Source organism: Homo sapiens, chromosome 10, assembly GCF_000001405.40.
Source record: "Homo sapiens chromosome 10, GRCh38.p14 Primary Assembly".
Taxonomy (NCBI): Eukaryota; Metazoa; Chordata; class Mammalia; order Primates; family Hominidae; genus Homo; species Homo sapiens.
Window position 1 is genome coordinate 110,133,147 of NC_000010.11, and position 21,252 is coordinate 110,154,398.

General features: G+C 43.7%; 1 protein-coding gene, 1 long non-coding RNA gene and 1 pseudogene across 32 annotated transcripts in view, besides 2 other annotated features; 1 reads left to right on the forward strand and 2 right to left on the reverse strand.

Annotated features, from left to right (window-relative positions):
- The window catches only part of ADD3 (adducin 3), a 139,193-nt gene extending 136,774 nt beyond the window's left edge, over nt 1–2,419 (forward strand). For all 31 annotated transcript variants that reach the window (NM_001320591.2, XM_047424588.1, XM_047424590.1 and 28 more), the window contains one exon: nt 180–2,419. In NM_001320591.2, the coding sequence (NP_001307520.1) occupies nt 180–472 (293 nt within the window). In that variant the 3' untranslated portion in view covers nt 473–2,419. The remainder of the gene's footprint in view (nt 1–179) is intronic.
- Nucleotides 6,068–6,280, reverse strand: SNRPGP12 (small nuclear ribonucleoprotein polypeptide G pseudogene 12; annotated as a pseudogene).
- On the reverse strand, nt 14,201–18,834 carry LOC105378479 (uncharacterized). Its single transcript, NR_164121.1, has 3 exons — nt 18,142–18,834; nt 16,566–16,685; nt 14,201–15,040 (listed from the first exon to the last, which is right to left on the reverse strand). It is a non-coding gene; the product is annotated as an uncharacterized LOC105378479 (long non-coding RNA).
- Nucleotides 17,992–18,986: an enhancer, noted in NCBI's record as "H3K4me1 hESC enhancer chr10:111910896-111911890 (GRCh37/hg19 assembly coordinates)". NCBI's record gives its function as "activates a minimal SCP1, AML or CMV promoter by ChIP-STARR-seq in naive H9 embryonic stem cells {active_cell/tissue: H9 hESC(naive)}" and the evidence as "EXISTENCE:reporter gene assay evidence [ECO:0000049][PMID:30033119]".
- Nucleotides 18,987–19,979: an enhancer, noted in NCBI's record as "H3K4me1 hESC enhancer chr10:111911891-111912883 (GRCh37/hg19 assembly coordinates)". NCBI's record gives its function as "activates a minimal SCP1, AML or CMV promoter by ChIP-STARR-seq in naive H9 embryonic stem cells {active_cell/tissue: H9 hESC(naive)}" and the evidence as "EXISTENCE:reporter gene assay evidence [ECO:0000049][PMID:30033119]".

Below are 21,252 nucleotides of genomic sequence, written 5' to 3' on the forward strand. Positions count from 1 at the left end.
TATATCATTAAAGAAAATTAGCTTCTTGCTAATAGATCACAGTTTATTAAAATAATGATCTGTCTTCATTGGAATCAAAGTAATGCCTTATTACATTGCTAAAACATTTCAGTTTTGTAAAGTAGAGCAAAAATGTTAAGTATGTAAAATAACCCCCAAAAAACCCTCCCCTTTCGTAGAAAACCATGAGCTGTTTTCCAAGAGCTTCATCTCCATGGAAGTGCCTGTCATGGTAGTAAATGGCAAGGATGATATGCATGATGTTGAAGATGAGCTTGCTAAGCGAGTGAGTAGGTTAAGCACAAGTACAACCATAGAAAACATCGAGATTACTATTAAGTCTCCAGAGAAAATCGAAGAAGTCCTGTCACCTGAAGGCTCCCCTTCAAAATCGCCATCCAAGAAAAAGAAGAAATTCCGCACTCCTTCTTTTCTGAAAAAGAACAAAAAAAAGGAGAAAGTTGAGGCCTAAATAAAGTCTTTTTATAATTATTATTATAACAATGTGACATTGCACATCTAAATACCACATTTAAGTTGATCATTAATATGCAATGGTAGATCAGATTGGGGGATGTAGCAAACTGGACTTTAAGAACTGGAAAGAGGTTTTACAAAAGAAAAACTTTCAGATTCATCTCTCATTTTATATGTCCAGAAATGGCTTTGAATTTTAAGCAATTACTAGTTTTAATTAGCTCTGCCCTCATGAAGTATTATTATAATTCACCATAAACAGCTATCTGTCTGAATTACTTCAGGCCTTCTCCATAATATCTGTTAGAAAGAAATTGCCAGTGAGCAAGTGAGAATTTTTATTTCTCAATACCTGCTTCACTTGATAATCATATTATAATTTTTTATCATGATTATTGACTATATTTTTGGAGTCCCATTGTTTCAGTGGGCATTAACAGAATGCTTTAAAAACTTCTAAGACAAGAATCTATAGCATTAGTATACACTGGCACATAATTTTTTAAAAAGTTTTAAGAAAAGATTCATTTGGAATTTTATTCACAGTATAAAATTTCCTCACCTGAAGTAACTTTGTTTGCCAAAAAAGTTGTTTTAATAAACTATAATTTTTGAAAACTTCCTTTTTTATTAGTTTAGAAAGCCCCTTATTTTTCAACAAAGGGGATTTTGTACACATAACATGGGTTATTTAGTTTAACTCTGGCAAAAAAAAAAAAAAAAATTTTGTATGTTGATGTTTGTATACCGTTCAGTATAAAAGTGTCCTAAGCATATTAGCCAATCTTTTCACAGTAGAGCATACTTAAGGCTGCTTGGTACTGAGTATACTTAAATATAACTCCAGAATCCAGGGACTTGGTGTTAAAACAGGATTAGAGCATGTAAAGGTACATCTAGATTCATATTTGAATCTTAAACTGTATTTTTCTCTTAGTATTGCTAATGAGTAAAGAAAAGTCTCATAAGGTAGCCAAATGAAAAAGAATGAAAGGGAAAGTGAAAAATTAAGGGGACAAAAGATGGGATGTGAAAAGAAGAATTCTAGTTTGATGGTGACTCATATTCACGATAGGATACAAAGTGTGATTTGTTGGAAACATGTCCCAAATTTCTAAAATTCTGCTTCTCTGCCAAAAGCAATGTCTTTCTTGGTTGATATTTGAGTTTTAAAAGGGTCAAATCTTTCTAATTTTTTGTATCTTTAGAGGGCAGCACTAGAAGAAATCAGCAGGTCTAATCCCACCAGTAAGAAAACTACCACTTCTTGATTTTTACAGATTTAAAAAAATCTTTTCAGTGACCTTTCTTTTTAATGTAAATACAAATTTAAACCTAGGCTTAATATAGGCGTTTCCCCTTTCACCCAAGTGATGTCACAGTTCGATGCAAAATCAATGATCCAGAATGATCGTGGGTAAAAATAACTCAAAGTGTTTCTTAAGGGTGAGTTGGCATGCAAAAAATTACATTGATTACAGTGTGTTTTGGAGCTGGCTCTGTTTGTGTGCATATGATAATGCAGAGTTGAGCCAGAGCCTGGAAATGTCATTCTAGATCTCACTAACTACTGGAATCAGTGTTTTAATCTCTTGGTGGAAACTTTCAGTTGCTTAACTCTCTATTGGAAGATTTTTTTAATGTTCTACATCATTTATGTTGTATTACAATGTATGTAGAAATAGTAACCTGTGAACTATGCTTTTCCATAACTTTTTAAAAATATATATATCTAAATGAATGCAATGTGCATAAATATTTTTTAAACATAACAGTGAACTATTGCACCTTTTGCTAATGCCTCTATTTACTTGCTTTGGCATAAAGAATGAGCCAATGAACCTCTGTGTCCTGTGGAAAAATGTATAAATGTTATCTGATATTGCTCTTAGATGTAATGCTAATTAATGTTAAATCACAAATAAACAGTATTTTAAATATACGGACTTGTATCATGAGGTTTCCATTCACAGGTGGTTACTTAGCCTATTCATGGTCTGTTGAGTTTTATACTTCAGTGAAACTTGGTAAGTTATTGATGCTTCTGAATAAAGAATGTCCTGATAAATATATTTTCAAATTAGTTGAAAATTATATATATATACAAAACCTGTCTTTTTTCAGCTTATGTTAGAGGAGATATTCCCTGAGAGACCTGTTTTGTCTCTTGATAATGGGTATGGCAGCCTCTATCAATGTAGAATAGATGTTGCAGGATATGTACCTCTCTGATTTTTAATGTATTTGTTGTACAAATAACAATGTAATAGAAAAACAGCAGAAAGAGTAGAAAGTAGTTCACAATTTTATCACATTCACTTTTTTTTTTTTTTTTTTGAAACGGAGTCTCACTCTTGCCCAGTCTGGAGTGCAGTGGCACAAACTTGGTTCACTGCAACCTCCGCCTCCCACGTTCAAGTGATTCTCATGCGTCAGCCTGTTGAGTAACTGGGATTACAGGCATGCGGCACCATGCCCAACTAATTTTTGTATTTTTAGTAGAGACAGAGTTTTGCCATGTTGGTCAGGCTGGTCCTGAACTCCTGACTTCAAACAGTCCACCCACCTCGGCCTCCCAAAGTGCTGGGATTACAGGTGTAAGCCACTGTGCCCAGCCTTTTTTCCTTTTTGACATGGTCGCCCAGGCTGGAGTGCAGTGGTGTGATCATAGCTCAATGCAGCCTCAAACTCCTGGGCTCAAGTGATCTTCCTTCCTTAGCCTCCCAAGTAGCTTGGACTACAGGCATGCACCACCACACCCAGCTATTTTGTTTCTTTGTTTTTTGTTGAGACAGGATCTCACCGTGTTATCCTGGATTCAAGTGATGCTCTTGCCTCAGCCTTTCAAATCATAAGGATTATAGACGTGAGCCACCATGTCTGGTCCATATTCACATTTAAAAAAATTATATTCCCTTCCAGCTATTATCTAGTTATATATATTTATATATATATCATTTATATGTAGGTGTTTTTTATATATTATGGTGTGAATGTAATTTTTCAGGGTTTTTTTTCCTACTTAGATAACACATCTAGATTTTCAAACTAAATCTGTCATATGAATAACTTCTTGTGATTATTTTTCTACTTTGCCCTAAAAATACAGTACAAGAGGAGGATAACATGTTAATTGAGGGCTCTGGTTAATTGAAGTTTTTACTATAATTACCCATTATAAAAATGAAGGGTTTGGTCAGAGAAAAATAGTCATAGTCTTGGGCATATTTAATTATTACCTTGGCTTGTAAATCACCCTGTGGTAAAAAATTGCTATTTTAGAAAGATGCTCATTTCAAAATTCCCTTTCATAAAGCAACAAAGGCGATTATCTTCAGTTCTCACTTGAGAGTCAATATAGTAGAAAAGTTCGCATGTGCCTTTTCTTCATTGATTAGTATTTTCATTCAGGGAATAAAAACCAAACTGATAAAATTTGTGACAGCACTGGCTTCTCTTAACATCAGGCCCCTTTTTCCCCCCCACATAGGCAGAAAATACAGACTGGTTATTTCTTTTCAAACTCAAGGTTGATACATACACATATCCAAGTTGCAATCTTGGCCAAACTGGGATTTTGATAAAAACAGTCTTGTTTGTGGCCACTAGAGGGAGTAATAGATCTAACAATCCAATGTTTCCATTCCTTGCACTGAACTTCCCTATTTAGTCTGTAGGCACCATGTTTGTTGTGAAATACCCAGAACTTGAAAGAGAAGGCATTTCCTTTGTTGTTTATTCTCCTCAGTAGATCGTTCTCGACTTTGTTTCCTTAGCAGGTCTCATTACAGATATCACCCACAGTGGAGAACACATAGAAAGTTGTGGTGTGCTCTCAGAGGCTGTGATAGGATATGACACCTCAGAGTTTTCATACCTGTGAGTGACAAGACAATGCCTTCTTCAATAATTGACTTTTTTTTTTCTTTTTTACTAAGGAGCTAACCGATAATATTTTTTGTTGATGCCTTCTGTGTACCAAACGTTAGGCTAAATGCTTTTCATATATGACTTCATTTGGCCTTCCCAGTATCCCAACAAAGTAGATGATATTATTCCCATTTTGTAGATAATGAAACTAAGGCTTGTAGAAGATGAAAAGTAGGTGGTAGGATTCCACCCATAGAGATTCAGACTTCTATAATTACTCATGCCATCTGTGTGCCAGACCCTGTGTGGCTGCAGTACATTTCCATGGTTTTTAGGAAGAGGCAGTTATCTTAGTTTGGACTGTAAGTCAAGCCACGGTGAACTTGTATTTTGATATAAGTAGATTTGGGATCAAACATTGACTTTTGATTTGGAAGACTTTTTTCCCTAACAAATCACCTCAAGAATGAAGAAATTGGTGGATACCTGAGAAGCAGGAATGACCTGTGGTGATAGCAACCTTTAGGATAAAGAACCAGCTCCTAAATCTTACACCATGACACCTGGAAGACAAGTTATCATACTTTTGCTTAAGATGCAGCAGAGACTTGAGAAGAAGCCCTTTTTCTTTTTCTTTTCTTCTTGATTTCCATTATTGGAAACAGAAGAAACATTCTAAGGAAAATGTTTTTAAAACCAGAAAAGGTAGCTTAATCTAGTTACAGAAGTCATTTTAAAGATCAGAAATACACTGTATCTACAATTTTATTTAAATGAGTGTAATTGAAGATGGTCTGTCTTGGAGAAAAACAATGTAGAAGCCTTTTGGGGAAACTTGATAGAAAAAAACCCTGAATTTGCATACTCTTACTTTCAAAGGGGTTTCATTTCTAAGAGCTGACCATTAGGGGGCAATAGTGGATCTAAATTTAGTTTTAGTTCATTGAGGGAACTCCTTCGAAGTATTTTTGGGCTTGATTTAGAACTCTATTTTGATTATGCATTGCTAGGTGCAGTCTAAGGTTGAGGAAAGTTTATAGATACCAGATTATTTTATTTGTTCCTTATAGCCTGGTTATCTTGTTCTGACTTTGTAAGAATTATCCTTCTGAGAGCTGGTGCTTACCTAATGTCATACACTTCATGGGGGCGCTAAGCCCGGATTCAAGAAAAGGTCTTCAAGTCTTCATTTCATGCTTGTCATACCACAGTTTTCCTTGGAAACCCATCAGGGCATAACCTACGAATGGATAAAATAGATAATAGATACATTTTCTAAAGTTTACTGCAAATTGTGATGTTTAGAACTTTATTACGGGAACAGTTTAGAGAAACACATTGCAAGACCAAGCCTAATTATTATTTATCCATAGTTGTTTCCTAAAGTTTCAAGTTTTTAGATGCTCCATGAGTCTTTACAGTATTGTCTCAAGTTGCTGATTTCTTTACTGTTGGAACCTCTAATATTTTAAATGCCATTTACACTTCAAGTGACAAACGGGCACATTTTGATATTCTGTACCAAAAAAAAAAAAAAAAAAAGCTTTTTTTATCTAGCAGAAAAATAGATGGATATATATCCAGTCCACAATTCCTTTTTATTTAACAAAAAGTTTAGTATGAAAATATACATGATCCAATTTTTACGTCATAGTAAAATAGGCCCTTCGGGGAGAGGTCATGGATTTCTCTGCAAAACAGCCTTGATTTATACTCATCCCAAGGCTTCTAACATGATACAATTTCCTCATATCACCATGAGGAATATCATTCTGTTACCCACTAGTTGCAATCTCCACACATCCATCAATCAAAAGATTCATAAAGGGATCAAATCCCTGCAATATTCCTTAGACATGTCTGTCACCAGTTAAATCCAGCAATAATTCTTGTCTATTCATTTTTCCAACTCAGGAAAGAGATCCTTGCTCATGGTGTTGACTCCATGGACTCAGAGCTGCCATGACACAATTTTCACCCTCCTTCACGCTCCCGAAGTAGGCCTGGCCCACAATTATTTTTAAGGCCTATATAATTTCTGGTTGGGTAAGTCTTTATACTGAAGCTGTGGTGAAGGGGGTTTTTGTTGTTCTTGTTGTTTTGAGATGGAGTCTCACTCTGTGCCCAAGCTGGAATGCAGTGGTGCGATCTTGGCTCACTACAACCTCCGCCTCCTGGGTTCAAGCGATTCTCCTGCCTCAGCCTCCCAAGTAGCTGGGATTACAGGTGCCCACCACCACACCTGGCTAATTTTTGTATTTTTAGTAGAAATAGAGTTTCACCATGTTGTCCAGGCTGGTCTTGAACTCCTGACCTCAGGTGATCCACCCGCTTCAGTCTCCCAAAGTGCTGGGATTACAGGCGTGAGCCACCATGCCCGTCCCGTGAAAGTTACTAAGTTGCCTTTTTGTTTCTAGATTTTATTTTTACACAAACGGTTTTGTCATTCTCCAGAGTCGGTCCTGACCTTGCTTCTGATGGTAAGAAAACCTCTCCAGTGCTATATGACTGCTGTCACGAGGCAAAATACTCGTTCCTTGCTGAACAACATGCTTTAATAGCATTGGTTTTATTCATCTAATTTGAACGTGTATTGAAGAATATTAGATTTCTAAGAAACTCTAGGATTTTTTAAAAAGTGTTTATGAAATGGCAGAATCAATATGTAGTACAAACTTGCAGCACCAGATGAAAGGACTTATAGGCAAGATTTTCCTCATTGTCTATATTAGACTCGCACTCAAAAAGCTGGTAAATATGTCAGCCCTATAGAAAGACCATTGCAGAGTGTTAATTGGACTTCTTAGACCAAACAGTGTCCCTTCAGATTGATATTTAGACTTGAAATTTTTGAGAAAAACTTGGATTTCCCAAAGCAATATAACATATCCTAGCAGATAGGGATGGAAATTAGGAAGTAGTACAGTTATAAAATGCAGGCTTTATTATTATTTTTTTCTTTGAGACAGTCTCACTCTGTCGCGCCCAGGCTGGAGTGCAGTGGCATGATCTCGGCTCACTGCAACCTCCGCTTCCCAGGTTCAAGCAATTCTCCCGCCTGTCTCCCAAGTAGCTGGGATTACAGTTGCCCACCACCACGCCCAGTTAATTTTTTGTATTTTTAGTAGAGACAAGTTTTCACCGTATTGGCCAGGCTGGTCTGGAACTCCTGGCAGTTGATCCACCTGCTTTGGCCTCCCAAAGTGCTGGAATTACAGGCATGAGCCACTGCACCCAGCAAAATGCAGGCCTTAAGAGGCAGACTCAGCCGGGCCCAAGTAATCCCAGCACATTGGGAGGCCGAGGCGGGCGGATCACGAAGTCAGGGAATTGAGACCATCCTGGCCAGCATGGTGAAACCCCCTCTCTACTAAAGATACAAAAATTAGCTGGGCATGGTGGTGCACGCCTGTAGTCCCAGCTACTCGGGAGGCTGAGGCAGGAGAATCGCTTGAACCTGGGAGGCAGAGGTTGCAGTGAGCCGAGACTGTGCCACTGCACTCCAGCCTGGCAACAGAGCGAGACTCCATCTCAAAAAAAGGGCAGGCTCTTTTGGATTTCCCTCTGGTACTCCTGACTTATCTTTTCTGGGTTTATAAAACAAATATAGTGACAGTCCCCAGCCTGGACCTGGAGCTACAGTTCTGCTAGACTCTTCTCAATGGTTTTCTGGCTGTGTTCTGTCCTTCCTTGAAGACCATTTTCTTTCATAGACAGTCAAGATCTAAACTAATTGTTTTTTTTTTTTTTTCCAAAAGCAATAGCTTCTGAAGATTTTCACTAAGCAGGAGCTAGGGAGGAAGTAGTTGTTGCGTGCTATAACTCACCCCTTTCCTGTTGAGTAATGCTGTAGAGGTTGGATTCAGTGGCAACTGGCTTGCTAGACTTTGACTTCAGAGTAGATGAGCTCCTAGTTTTATGAGAGAACATGTAGATACAGCCAGCTTGTTGGCATGCACAGGCAGTCTCTTCCAAAGGTGTTTGCTGGACTAAGGAGTTAAAGTTCAACATTTCTTCCTACCTGATTTCTGTTTTGGAAATGTTGGCTTCAATTGTTTCAACTGAAATAAAGGTCATTTGAGGCTATTAGGATAACCAAGACTGTATCCCAAATATTATCTACTGGTCCACATCGCGGGGAGGGGTAAGACTCACTGCACCCGGATGTTTGGGTATCTTAAGCCTTTTAAATTATTTAATTTAAAATATCCTGTGTGGTAATTGAGATGTTTTGTTTTTAAATTATTTTTAAAATAGTGTTTTACTTTAGAACATATTTTCAAAATATGAAATTTTTTGATATGTAGGTATGGTCGTGTGTCTCCATTTTGACCTTTAAGTTAATATTGAGCAAGGGTATATGCACATGTACTTGCCAAAGCCAAGCTGAGCATGGGTCAATTAACTGCAGAGGAACAGGGCAGGCTGGGTGGGGCAAGCTCAGGAATTCTACCCACTCACTGAGCAAAGTCAGGCACTGGGGGAACAGCTTGAGCTGGAGAGCTAGTAGGAAGCCCAGCCCAGCCAGTGAAACATGGAGCCTCGAGAACATAGCCATCGGCCAAAAGCGTAGTCTGGTAAATGGTCTGCATCAGGGAAGTGGGAGTCCCAGTCAGGATTCTGGAGTAAGAAAGCAGGATGGCAGAAGCCCAGTAGCATGTGTAGGAGTGCCAGCCACAGGCTTAGCTCTAAGAGCAGCGCTTCCTCTACTTCCTGTGGGGTAATGGCAAGATCATGGCAGGACCTCAGGCTTAAGGGGCCTGGGTATAGTTAGCAGTTCCTCAAGACAGGAACTCGGATAGAAGGAAAATGACAGATGGGAATCCTGTTATCAGAACTGAGGTACACAATACTGCTCAGAATTCCAGAAGCCAGGCAGTGCTCAGAGCCAAGACAAGGTCAGGACTGGCCTGGGGACAGGCTTGGCTTGGTGCCCAGTGAGTCCCAGAGCCAGGAGCTAGAGCTACCTCAGTTCCGCTGGCCTCATTAGGACTAGTCCTGGACACCACAGCCAGGTAAGTCGGTCAAGTGGCCCTAGTCGTTGTGGGAGAGGCACACTGCAGAGACAGGGAAGGGCCCTGACATGGCTTTCACAATGGAAGCAACCCTGTGTGATAACAAGACAGCCACGTAAGAGTGGCTGCAGGAATGAGTTAATATTTCACACCAGAACCTACCTGAGGACTAGCAAAGATGAATAAGCAAAGGCCAAGTGCTACTGAAACACTCGCTGTGAAGATGGCCCCATGTTTCCTGTGAACTAATTTTCCAATCGGGAGGCAGTTTCACTATAGAAAAATTTAGCTCCAGTGATGTCTCTGCCCTTCCCCGCCCCCAACCCCGCCACCCTCTTACCAGGAGTCACTATAAGATGCACCTCAAGAACACTAATTGAATAGAAGAGAATCGAAGACAGTGGTCTGTGTTTCCTCCTCCTATAAAAAATGAGGCTATGATTTTATGCTGGCAAAACACCTTCGATTCCACATGGCGTCCTCCATAACCCTCTGGTTGTGGCAATAGCCGTTTGCCACTGAGTCAGAGGCCTCTCTGATTTGTCTTGCCACATCCACCCAAATAATGACCTCTCAGTTCACTCCTCCAACCTGCTTCCGGAGAGAATGGCTTCCTTAGGACCGTACCTGTAGCAGCTCCAATCTGTCATCATCTGGGGGACTCAGGAGCCAGCTGCATGAGTCATCCAGTCCTCTACTCCCACAGTTGTCCATAGAACACCTAGCCCTGCCACCTGGCAAGCCAGCCTTCTTTCCCACCCCATCTTCCCCAACCTGGGTACCCAGCAGAAGACATATACCCTCCCAGTGACCGCCTTAGCTCTCCAAGCACCCTTCTCCACCTGGGCACACTGATAGAGGATGTTTCCTTTCATCAAAATGACTTCTTCCTTTACCAAACTCCAGTAGCACTTCAGGATCATACTTAGCCTGTCTTGTAAGCATTATTGATTATGCATCTGTCTCCCCTACAAGATCATAAGCTCTGGGAAAGCAGGGACTGTATATACCTTGTTCATCCTTTTGTCCTTCACCATGCATGGCCAAAAATAGATTCTTCCTTTCTGTTGCTCACAAGGGACAACACTGTTCATGTTGGTGACATGTTAATAACATGTACATAGCAGAAAGATGTTCTCATATATCTTAAATAGTGAAAGTCAGGAAGTGGCTTAGGGTGAAAATCCTCCTTGGAGCCATTAGTCTGATCTATAAAGCTAATAATAATAATAGCTACAGTTTATCAAGTGCCTACCATGTAGGCTTTGTACTACATGTTTTAATTACATTATCTCATTTAATCCTCAATCATGCACTATATGGTTATCCACCAAAGGGGGAAACAGGTTTAGAGAGAGGCTAAGGAATTTTTCTCATTTCACCACTTAGTAAGTGGATTCAGACTCTTAAGTCTGTTTCTAACTGTTATGCCAGGTTATTCACTGAGTGCAGCCTTCTTGCCAGCTGGTAGGAAAATCAGGTATTAGAGCTTGCAGCAACATCACAGAAGCCTTCCCCAACTTGTCTCTCTCATGGCTAAAGTGGCTTCTAGGTGAGAAAGAGTTCGCATCCCCACTGGCATTTGCTAATCTAGGGTGCAGAGGGCCTTCCAGAGCACCACAGTGTCACTTCAGTTAGGTAGCCAAGGATAACTTTGGGAATGTGAAAAGGATAAAAGACTGGGTGCTGGTCTTAGCAAACCCTACTACAAGCATGCTGATAAAATGAATAGTGATAGCACACTTTCACTATTCTGATCAGCAGTGTGGTTTTCTAATTCATGTATTGTCCATTGGGTCTTCACTAATTGTTTATTTTACTGAGGGCTGCTGCCATCGATAGAGGTTGTTGGCACATTTTAACCCTGAGTAAAATGTAATAGCTAGAATTTACTGAGCACCAGGTACTTTAAGTTGATGCATTAATTTAATACAACAAACCTCTGAGGTAGATTGTTATCATCTCCATTTTACAGAGAAGAAAACTAAAGCTTAGAGAAGTTGCCCAAGATCACACTGTTAGTGTCAAAGCTGGGGTTCAAACCTAAGCAATCAAACTTGAGAGTTTATACTTCCACTTCCCTGATTCCCAAAAATACTTGCCATCTTATTCATCATCTTAGTTTACTGTGGATCTCTGGGGACAGCTGGCGTCAGTTAAATAAAACATTACATTATACTGGGCTTGTGTTTTCTTTCCCACTCAATTTGATGATAGAATAGCTATGACACATGATATGCTGCATGTTATCTCATTAAGCAATTACACCAATAATACCCTGAAATTTCCACATTTGAAATTGTTGTAGCACTTTTTTTCTTTGTCCAATAGTAAGGCATTATTGCTCTAGAGTCATAGAGACCTGAGTTTGATTCCTACCTCTTCACTTTTCTATTAAATGGGTATAATAATTATGCTAAACTCTTAGGGTTGTAATAAGAATTAAGCAAGATTATAATATACAAAAAAAACTTAGCACGGACTCTAGTATCAGGAAGCCCTCAACTGATGTTGGTATTGTTTGTATTATCACTTTTCTCTATCTCGATCTGCTAGAAGAGAATGCATATTAGGAGACAGATTAAACAATGGCTGGCTTATCTCTCACAGTTACCCACTTGAAATTTGTCATTCCTATTCTTTACGGAATTCTTTGCTGAATTGTGACCAGTTTTCTACTCTTTGAAAAAGGACAGAAGATGAGTAATGGACAGATAAGTTATGTAATTTACTCTTTTCCAGTAAGAAACCCCATTGTTGGGAAGTATGATTTGTGCCTTGAGAAGGTGATGGATTAAAAGATGATGATGACTCCCCCCAGACAAAGATGGTCTAGAGCAGCAGCTTCAAGATCAATGGGAATACCTAGACTGCAAGCAGCTTCCTGGAGAATTCTAGAGGAATATGACAGACAAGTCACTGTGGTTCTAAGATGTGTTCAGTGGAAGCAGCCGCCTTTCAGGCTGTTGTTGAAAGGAATTTTTTAGCTCTCTTTGCCCCTTGAAAGCTGAGGAGGCACAGGGGGCTGGTCATCTGCAGGCTGTGTGGCCCTGGCTATTTCATCTTGGAAATCTAGGAAAGCCTGTGTGAACAAGCTTAATGCTTCACAATTTCGGTTTTCTTGGTGTCTTGCAGATACCAAGTTTTCTATCTTGGGGATGCTCTGGTAACAGAGGTTAGACCAAGCTGTTCTCAGCAATCTGGAGCAGACACAGAAAAGGCAGGTTCATGTTGGTCCTGTGCTGGCAGAACATTAAGAAAAATAACTGTGCTTCTTAAGAAAACCCTGCATATGGCCGGGCGCGGTAGCTCACGCCTGTAATCCCAGCACTTTGGGAGGTTGAGGCGGGCAGATCACCTGAGGTCGGGAGTTCAAGACCAGCTTGACCAACATGGAGAAACCCCATCTCTACTAAAAATACAAAATTAGCCAGGCATGGTGGCACATGCCTGTAATCCCAGCTACTCGGGAGGCTGAGGCAGGAGAATCGCTTGAACCCAGGGGGCGGAAGTTGTGGTGAGCTGAGATCGCACCATTGCACTCCAGCCTGGGCAACAAGAGGGAAACTCCGTCTCAAAAAAAAAAAAAGAAAAGAAAAGAAAACCCTGCTTATACTCACAATATAATGGTTGAGGAGGGGGGAAAGTATGTATAGTAAATGGGGAAAAAAGCCAGATTGTAAAATTATTTCTACACTTTGGTGCCAATTTTACTTTGAAAATTAAACGCAGTACACATTCATATTTATAAGGGGAAGACAGCATGGATTTAACTCGAACAGCATGGATTTAACAGTGATTTCCTGGAGGAATTACAAGTGCCTTTTATTGTCTTAACTCTTATATGTGTGTGTATATGTATATATTAACTCATGTATGTATATGAGTGTGTGAGTGTATATATATATATATATATATATATATAATTTTTTAAGAGACAGGAACTCCCTGTCACCCAGGCTAGGGTGCAGTGGCACAATCATAGCTCACTGCAGCTTCGAACTCCTGGGCTCAAGCAGTCCTCCCACCTCAGCCTCCTGAGTAGCTAGGACTACAGACAAATGCCACCTTGCCCGGCTAATTTTTTAGTGTTTTTGGTAGAGACAGGATCTGGCTATGTTTCCCAGGCTTGTCTCAAACTCCTTGCCTCAAGTGATCCTCCTGCCTCAGCCTCACAAAGTGCTGGGATTATAGGCATGAGCCACAACACCAACTTTTTTATATATCTCAGTGTTGAACAATGAAACAGTAGAAACTCAGAAAATCAAAAATTGTGATAATTAGGGGAAGATATTACTTGGAGTCATGTCAATATGGAGTAATAAAAAGCTCGCAGTGCAGAACAATGCCTATGGTATGCTGCCATTAGTATAATGAAGGGGAAAACAATTTATATGACTTGCTTGTATGTGTATAAAATATCCCTGGAAGTCTAAGCCAGAAATCACACAGGGTTGGTCACGGGAAAGGAAACTGGCCTGTGGGGGATGGGTGGAATGGAGGCTTTCTTTCCACTATCAACCCTTTTATGCCTTTTAAAAAATCTAGTACCTATGAGCTGGGAGTGGTGGCTCACGCCTGTAATCCCAGCACTTTGGGAGGCTGAGGTGGGCGGATCACCTGAGCTCAGGAGTTCGAGACCAGCCTGGCTGTCATGGTAAAACCCCATCTCTATTAAAAATACAAAAATTAGTTGGGCATGGTAGTGGGCACCTGTAATCCCAGCTATTCGGGCAGCTGAGGCAGGAGAATCGCTTGAACCGGGGAGGAGGAGGTTGCAGTGAGCTGAGATCGCGCCACTGCACTCCAGCCTGGGCAGCAGAGTGAGAGTCTGTCTCAAAAGAAATAACAAACAAACAAAAACTAGTACCTATGTTAAAAGTTATATCTTTTGAATATGTATGTGTGTATTAATATATTTTTTCTATTTTTATGATGCCAGGAGTTCCTGAAAACTGTCAGAAGGTGCACGGTTATACGTGAACTGTGCACTACTGTATTTACCATTTCAAACACGCAGAGTCTGATCTACAGTAGGTGGAGTGTCTGCTCGGCACCACCCACCAGACGGTGTGATGCTGCGTACCTAAAGGTCCACATGTCAAATGCACATCCTCATTCAGAGTCACCACCACCGCCACAAAAAGTTTTAATGTGACCCATCAAGTTTCCATTTTTGCCCTGGCTTGCAAGGAGCCTAGAGCTATGTTTTGTCTTTAGCCAGGTTTTCTAATACAGCCAGGCTCCTCCCTATACCTACCACATTTATTATTTCTCTGTCTTCTTTTAAATCCTGTTCTAATAGCTTTTCATTTAGTTAGAGCTATGACTTTACCTATATGCAGTTTCAAAACCGTTTTGGAAGGCAACAGGATACATGCTAGTTATCTATTGCTATGTAACAAATCAAAACGTAGAAATTTAAAATAACAATACACATTTAATATATCTCACAGTCTTGGGGGGTCAGAAATTCAGGAACATTCTGGCTTGGAGTCTTTCAAGAGGTTGCAGTTGAGACATCAGCCAGAGCCACAGCCATTTGCAAGCTTGACTGGGGCTGGAGGGTCTTCTTCCCGGATGGTTGGCAAGTTGGTGCCAGCTGTTGGCGGGACCTTAGATGCTCCCCGTATGGGCCTCTCTGCAGGCAGCTTGAGTGCCCTCGTGACAGGCAGCCCCTGCGGCAGACAATCCAAGGGAGAACAAAGCAGAAACCACAGTGACACACACTTGCACTTCAGCCACATTCTAATCATTAGAAGCGAGTCACTAAGTTCAGCCAAATCGAAGGGGAGGGACACTAGTTTCCACCTTTTGAAGAAAAGAGTGTCAAAAAATCGGTGAACATGTTTTAAAACCACCATGGGTTATAATAATCAATTATTCAATATCAGATTAGTCAAGTGGGAAAATGATGGAAAGGTGCTTTCAGAAGGAGGGAACAATGACTGAGTACCTTGTGTGTCCTAGGCTCTGTACTTCACATACATTATTGTGTTTAATTTTTTTTTTTTTTGACAGGGTCTCACTCTGTCCTCCAGGCTGGAGTGCAGCAGTGCAATCTCGACTCACTGCAACTTCTGCCTCCTGGGTTCAAGCAATTCTCATGTCTCAGCCTCCTGAGTAACTGGGACTACAGGCATGTGCCACCACTCCCGGCTGATTTTTGTATTTTTAGTAGAGTCAGGGTTTCACCATGTTGGCCAGGCTGGTCTCGAACTCCTGACCTCAAGTGATCTACCCACCTTGGCTTCCCACAGTGCTGGAATTAAACGGTGAGCCACCATGCCTGGCCTGGGTTTAATTTCATGAAAACTTTTTCTCAGTTTTACAGATGAGGAAAGTGAGACTAAGTGGAGATACGGCTTGTCCGAGGTCACATCACTAGTGTCAGAGTATGTCAGGTACATAGCCTGAAGCCACAGCTGTGCCATCACCTACCTCAGTGGAAAATGGAAAGCATTCCCAAGTATGTGCTACCTTGACTTATCTAAGCCATGTCCATTTTGCCACCAGGGAGAATTGTGATCAATACCCCCAGCTGAGTGAATTCTAAAAGAGCTGTTTAATTTGCCTCTAAATGCTCTGGATCTTAACTCCCCTTCAAAGCACCTCTCCTGCTTTCTGCCATTGCCAGTATTTGCCCAGCCCAGGCAGCGCCATGCCTGTCCTCACCCCTGACTTTGAGAGTCAGCCCACTCCTCTTCCCACTACAGCTGGCTGCGGTCTGGAGGCCAGTGGGGTCAATGAAGCAGGGTGGCACGGAGTGCAGGGGTGAGAGGGCAAAGCCCTCTGTCTAAAGGGGACTGAGCCAAGCCCAGCAGGGCGGAGATAGGATGGCCCATCTCTGCCAGTTCCATGCTGGACTGCAGAGGCCTGATAAGGCCAGGGAACCACCCACCCAACTATGTCTCCTCTTCCAAATAGAGGAGACTCCCCACACTGCTCTCCCCGCCATCGGTGGCTACATGGATGCTTTCCTCCAAGGGTGGCTGGCTGCCTTTCTCCACTGGGAGATGGAACGTGATCCGGGGCATGACCAGCTCTTTGGGGTGACAGGTCAAGTGGCTGAGGTCTGTGCTGGGAGTTCCCGCCTCTCCTACTCCCCTCCCTTCTCAGCATCGGCCAGTCCTGTCCTTCCAAAAAACAAACTTTCTGTTGGATTCTCTACTCAACACTGTCCCTTCTCCTGGGAGCTCATACCTGGAGAACTGCCGGAATTCTGCTCCACTGGTAGTCTCATCTCCTAAGGCACATTTTCTTGGCAGAAACCGTTCCTTGGGTTGGAAGTTTGAGGAGCCAGTGTTACTGTTGGAACCAGAGCTGGAGTAAGAAGCAGGTCAACAGCTGTTAGCCAGCGCTCCAGACTGTAAGGGACTTAAAATCCATTCTGATAAAGGTGGAAGGGATGAAAAACATCAGCTTCCTGGAATTCCTCGTAGGAACTCTACTGTCTGTGGTTGAAAGAATACTATAGCTGGGCGCAGTGGCTCATGCCTATTATTCCAGCACTTTGGAAGGCCAAAGGGGGTGGATCACTTGAGGCCAGGACTTCCACCAGCCTGCTCAACATAGCGAGACCTCGTCTCTATTAAAAAAATTTTTTTTTCTAAAAAAGAAGACTCTGATCAAACACTCTGAGGTGGAGGAAGGCATTGAGACCTCTAGCATCCATTGGTTGCCAAAGATGACAATCTGGTTAACAGCAGGGCCTTTCTCTCTGGGTGTGGTTGTGTGTTAGAAGCCCATTGCCACTCCCACCCCACCCTACTTGGCCCTCCACCCCTCTCTCTGTGCTCAACCCCTCTCTAGAAAAAGAAGTAAGAGATATTGAGAGGGTATCAGCAGGCCAGGACACCAAGTTGTTACCTCAAATAGAAGGACCAGGTCTCAGCCCACCCTGGCTGGAGCAGCGCACCTGTGGGGCAGGCCGCCCTCCGAGTAGGGGCTTTATGGGATGGATCAGAGCCACCACTGACTGGGATAAAGGGAGACTCTAGGGGGACCAAGCCTATAAACTAGCTGCCCTGCCAGCTGTCCGCCTTCCCCTCAGACCTGCATGCTGGCTTTAGAGCCAGTAATTCTACTGGAATTTTTCCTGTCCTCTTAGATGGGGTTTATCCCTCACTTGAAAGAACCCGGGACATTTGACATTGATGAACAAAGCAGGGGAGTCCACCTCCTGCCTGGAGGGCAGCTGGGAGTCAGAGCCAGTCCGTGTTGTGTGCAGATGAAAAAACTCCTGCCTGGTGTGATGCATGGGCCTTGGGAGAGGTCAGCCTAGGGGGAGAAAGTACAAAAGTGATCGATTCCACCAGCACGTGTGGGGACCCTCAAGTCTAAGGCAGGGCTCTGGAGGCTTTACCTGGACTATCACCCTCCCAGGACACCCCCACGGGGTAGGCACCATTACCACCTACCCTGCCTTAGGAGGGAGGAACTGCAGGCACGGGGAGGCTAAACATCTTGCTCAAACTGGTGGCTAGTAAGTGGGGTTCAGGACTCAAAGGCTGGTGTCTCTGACTGCTGAGCCCTTTGAGCCACTGTGTCTCTCCTGAGAAAAGTTGCCTTTCAGAGCTTGCGACCCCCAATCTGTGGCTCTTCTGTGCCTCTGTTGTGCTCCACCCGCTCCCTGGGGATGGTCAGAGCCTGGGCCCTCTCCCCCGGGAAGCTGTTAGGACAGCTCCTGTGATCCCTGCAGCAAAACTATTTGTTTTCCAGAACAAATAGGAGCCTGAAATCAGAGTGCCTGTGTCCCTCAAGAAGGCGGATTCCCCACCTGGTGGGGAGGCGCTGGGCTGTGATGGAGGCTGAGGAGGAAGAAGAACCATGGAGCCAGAAGTTTTGCCAAGGACCAGCCGAGTGTTTTCCCTGAGCTCAGTGTTCTCAGCTCTAGCGTAGGGATGAGCCCCTCCTCTTCCTGGAGCTGAGGCTGGGATGAAGGGAGTGTGGGTCGGTGCCTGGTGCTGGAGGGGTCCACGGCAGGCATCCAGATGCTGTCACTGGAGGGCACGAGAGGCCCCTCCTGGGACACACCCTCTGTCCCCAGTCCCCCTGCACCACCTCTCACCCTGTCTCCTTCCTCTTCCACTTTCATTCTTTCTTTCCCTCTTCCTTCTACATGGATGGAGGCCTCAGAGTGGCCAGAGGGATGTGCTGAGCCTGGCCCTCCCATGGGGAGGAGCCAGTAGACACACCTGCCCGTGGCCTGGAACACTTCCAGCTGGAAAGGCGAACCGAGCCAGGCCCTGAGTCAGTCAGGCAGCCTCACCCCACGCCTCTGGCCCCTGCCCACCCCTCACTCATAGGCACCTGCTTGCTGCCGTCCCTCCTCACCCCGACCTCTGCCCACTCCAGCTGTGGCCTGGGAGGGGTCTGCAGTGAGGGAGAAAATGTTGACCACAGAGATCATGCCACGGCCACTTTTCACTGGAGGGGAAACTGCAGACTGCCTTCCTCCTCCTGCCCTCTCCCCTAACCCAGAGGGAAAGAGGCGTGGGGAGGGGGCTGAGGGATTACCACGCTTGGCTGGCTGGCTTTCCATGTGCAGAGTATTGAGGCCGCCTAATTGACAGATAGTAAACACGGATAAAGACTTTGGGAGAGAGAAGCAGGGGGTCGTTGGGACAAGGCAGGCTGAGGCATTGGGAGGGTGGGGGGCTGAGAGTCTTGGGAGAAGACCAGATGGCTCCCTGCCATGTCCCCATCTGGGCCTCTGCTAACTTTAAGCCAAGTGAACAGGGCCTGGTGGACAAAGGCCAGCGTGCACATGAAGGGGGCCATTAGAGGTGTGGCCTGGGGGAGAGGAGAACCCAGGGGTCCCCCCTTCTGTGTGAGGCCTGGCAGCTTGAGAGTCTGGGCCTGGCGTCCCCTCCCCCAGGCACCAGGGGAGGAATCCAAGCTCCCAACTTGTTCAGAGGGATCTCGCACCATCTCCACACCACCTCTCAGCTCGCCTGTGAGGGCGGCCCTGGGACAGCTCCACGCAGTGTGAATGTTAAGTTTTCCTGCAAGGAGCTGGGGTCTGTAACAGCCCTACTGGTGGCAGAGCTCAGGGAGAGGCTCAAGGCTGCTTGGGAGAGCCTGGTTGTGGCCACCAGCCCTGGGAACACCCTCCACTCCCTTCCAGCGTGGCCCCAAACCCAGAGGATCCAGGCTTCCAGCACGGGATGGGGTTCTGAATGGGGAAGGAGGAAGGAAGCTGCCTGCTCTCTGCCTGGGCCCCTGTACTACCCTCACCCCAGCATGGTCACTCCATTCAACCTACTTCTGTTTCCAAGGCGTCTTACTGTGCCCAGCACCCTGAGGAAGAGAGAGGATCAGAGACATCCCAACCTCCTGTTGGACAAATTCTCTTACTTCCACATTTCTGCCTTGGCTCCTTAGAGAACTCTTCCAAGGCCTCAGCTGGATCCCCTGAGCTCTGACCTGCCAATCACACCAAGGCTGCTCGCCACGAAAAAGAACTGACTTTGCCTCCTCTCCCTCCCTGTCCAAATCCATCCCAGGCTTTCCTGTGCAGCTAAGTCCTTCCCAGAGAGACATCAAGATGAAAGAAAGCAGACAGACCTGGATTCAAACTTCATCTCTACTCTTTATGACTTTGGGCAAGTTGCTTACTCTCTTTGAGTCTCGGTTTCTTGATCTGTAACTGGGAAAGCAGGTGCATCCTTGCCGAGGTGTTGTGAGGATTTAATAAGGTGCGACTTGGAGAGCACCCTGCCCTCCCTCCCTGGCAGGTGTACAGAGAGCTTGTCAGACCATAACTCAAAGGCCACGTGGCCACCATTGCCCATTGACACTACCTCCGAAACCTCTCTCCCGTTCAGCTCCTCTTTCTATCCCCATTGTCACAGCCCTAGTCTAAGCCCCTGGTTTCCCACCTGAATTCATTTAAACAACGAATTCATTGACCCTCTTACTGGTCTTCCCAGTACCCCCTGTCTCAACCCTCAGTCCAGCCTCCCGCTGCTGGAGAACGAGCTCTTTAAAATGCAAATCATGGTCTGTCACTCACCGCCTAGTTGCCTATGACTTGTGAGAGATGAGATCCAACTTCCTTTGCAGGGAGAGAGTTCATTGGTGCCCTGGCCTTATCTGCCTCCTGGCTTGGTTGCTACCCTCCCACCAGTCGCCTCATCTGCCACTTGCATTCACAATACTAGGCCATTGCACATGTTCTTTTCTCCGCTTGACAGGTCCTTACCCTGCTCAACTGAGAGCCAACTTCTCATCCTCCAGGGAGGAAGGAGACACGCTATGTGGCAGGCACTGTGCTAAGCATTTTATTTGCATTATTTCATGAGACAGATACTATTATCCCCACTTAGTGGGTGATAAAACCAAGTCTCAAGTGGTTAAACAGAATTCAATCCTAGATCAATTATGACCCTAAATCCATGTTTTCCTGTTACATCTATTTCCCAGCTCAAATGCCTCCTCCTTCATGAAACCTTCCCCCACTACGAGTGTGGAGGCCGGATCTGGCTTGGTGTTTTAGGGGACAGAGTACATAAATGAATTTCAGAGATGCAAAAAGTTTCTGTTTAGGGGAAGTGCATGATCAGTCCAACAAAGAGATTCAGCATTTCCTGTATTCAAGGAACATGTCTGGGTGCTGCACAGAATGAAACATTAATTGGTGGGCAATAACGTGTTGGCAAAGACATGGAGAAATCAGAGTCTTCATACATTGCTAATGGGAATGTAAAATGGTACAACCATATTTGAAAAACAGTTTGGCAGTTCCTCAAAAAGTTAAACATAGAGTTACCAATTCTACTACTCAGTATATACCCAAGAGAAATGAAAACATATGTCCACGTAAAAATTTTCACACAAATGTTCATAGCAGCATTATTCATAATAGCCAAAATCTGGAAACAACTCA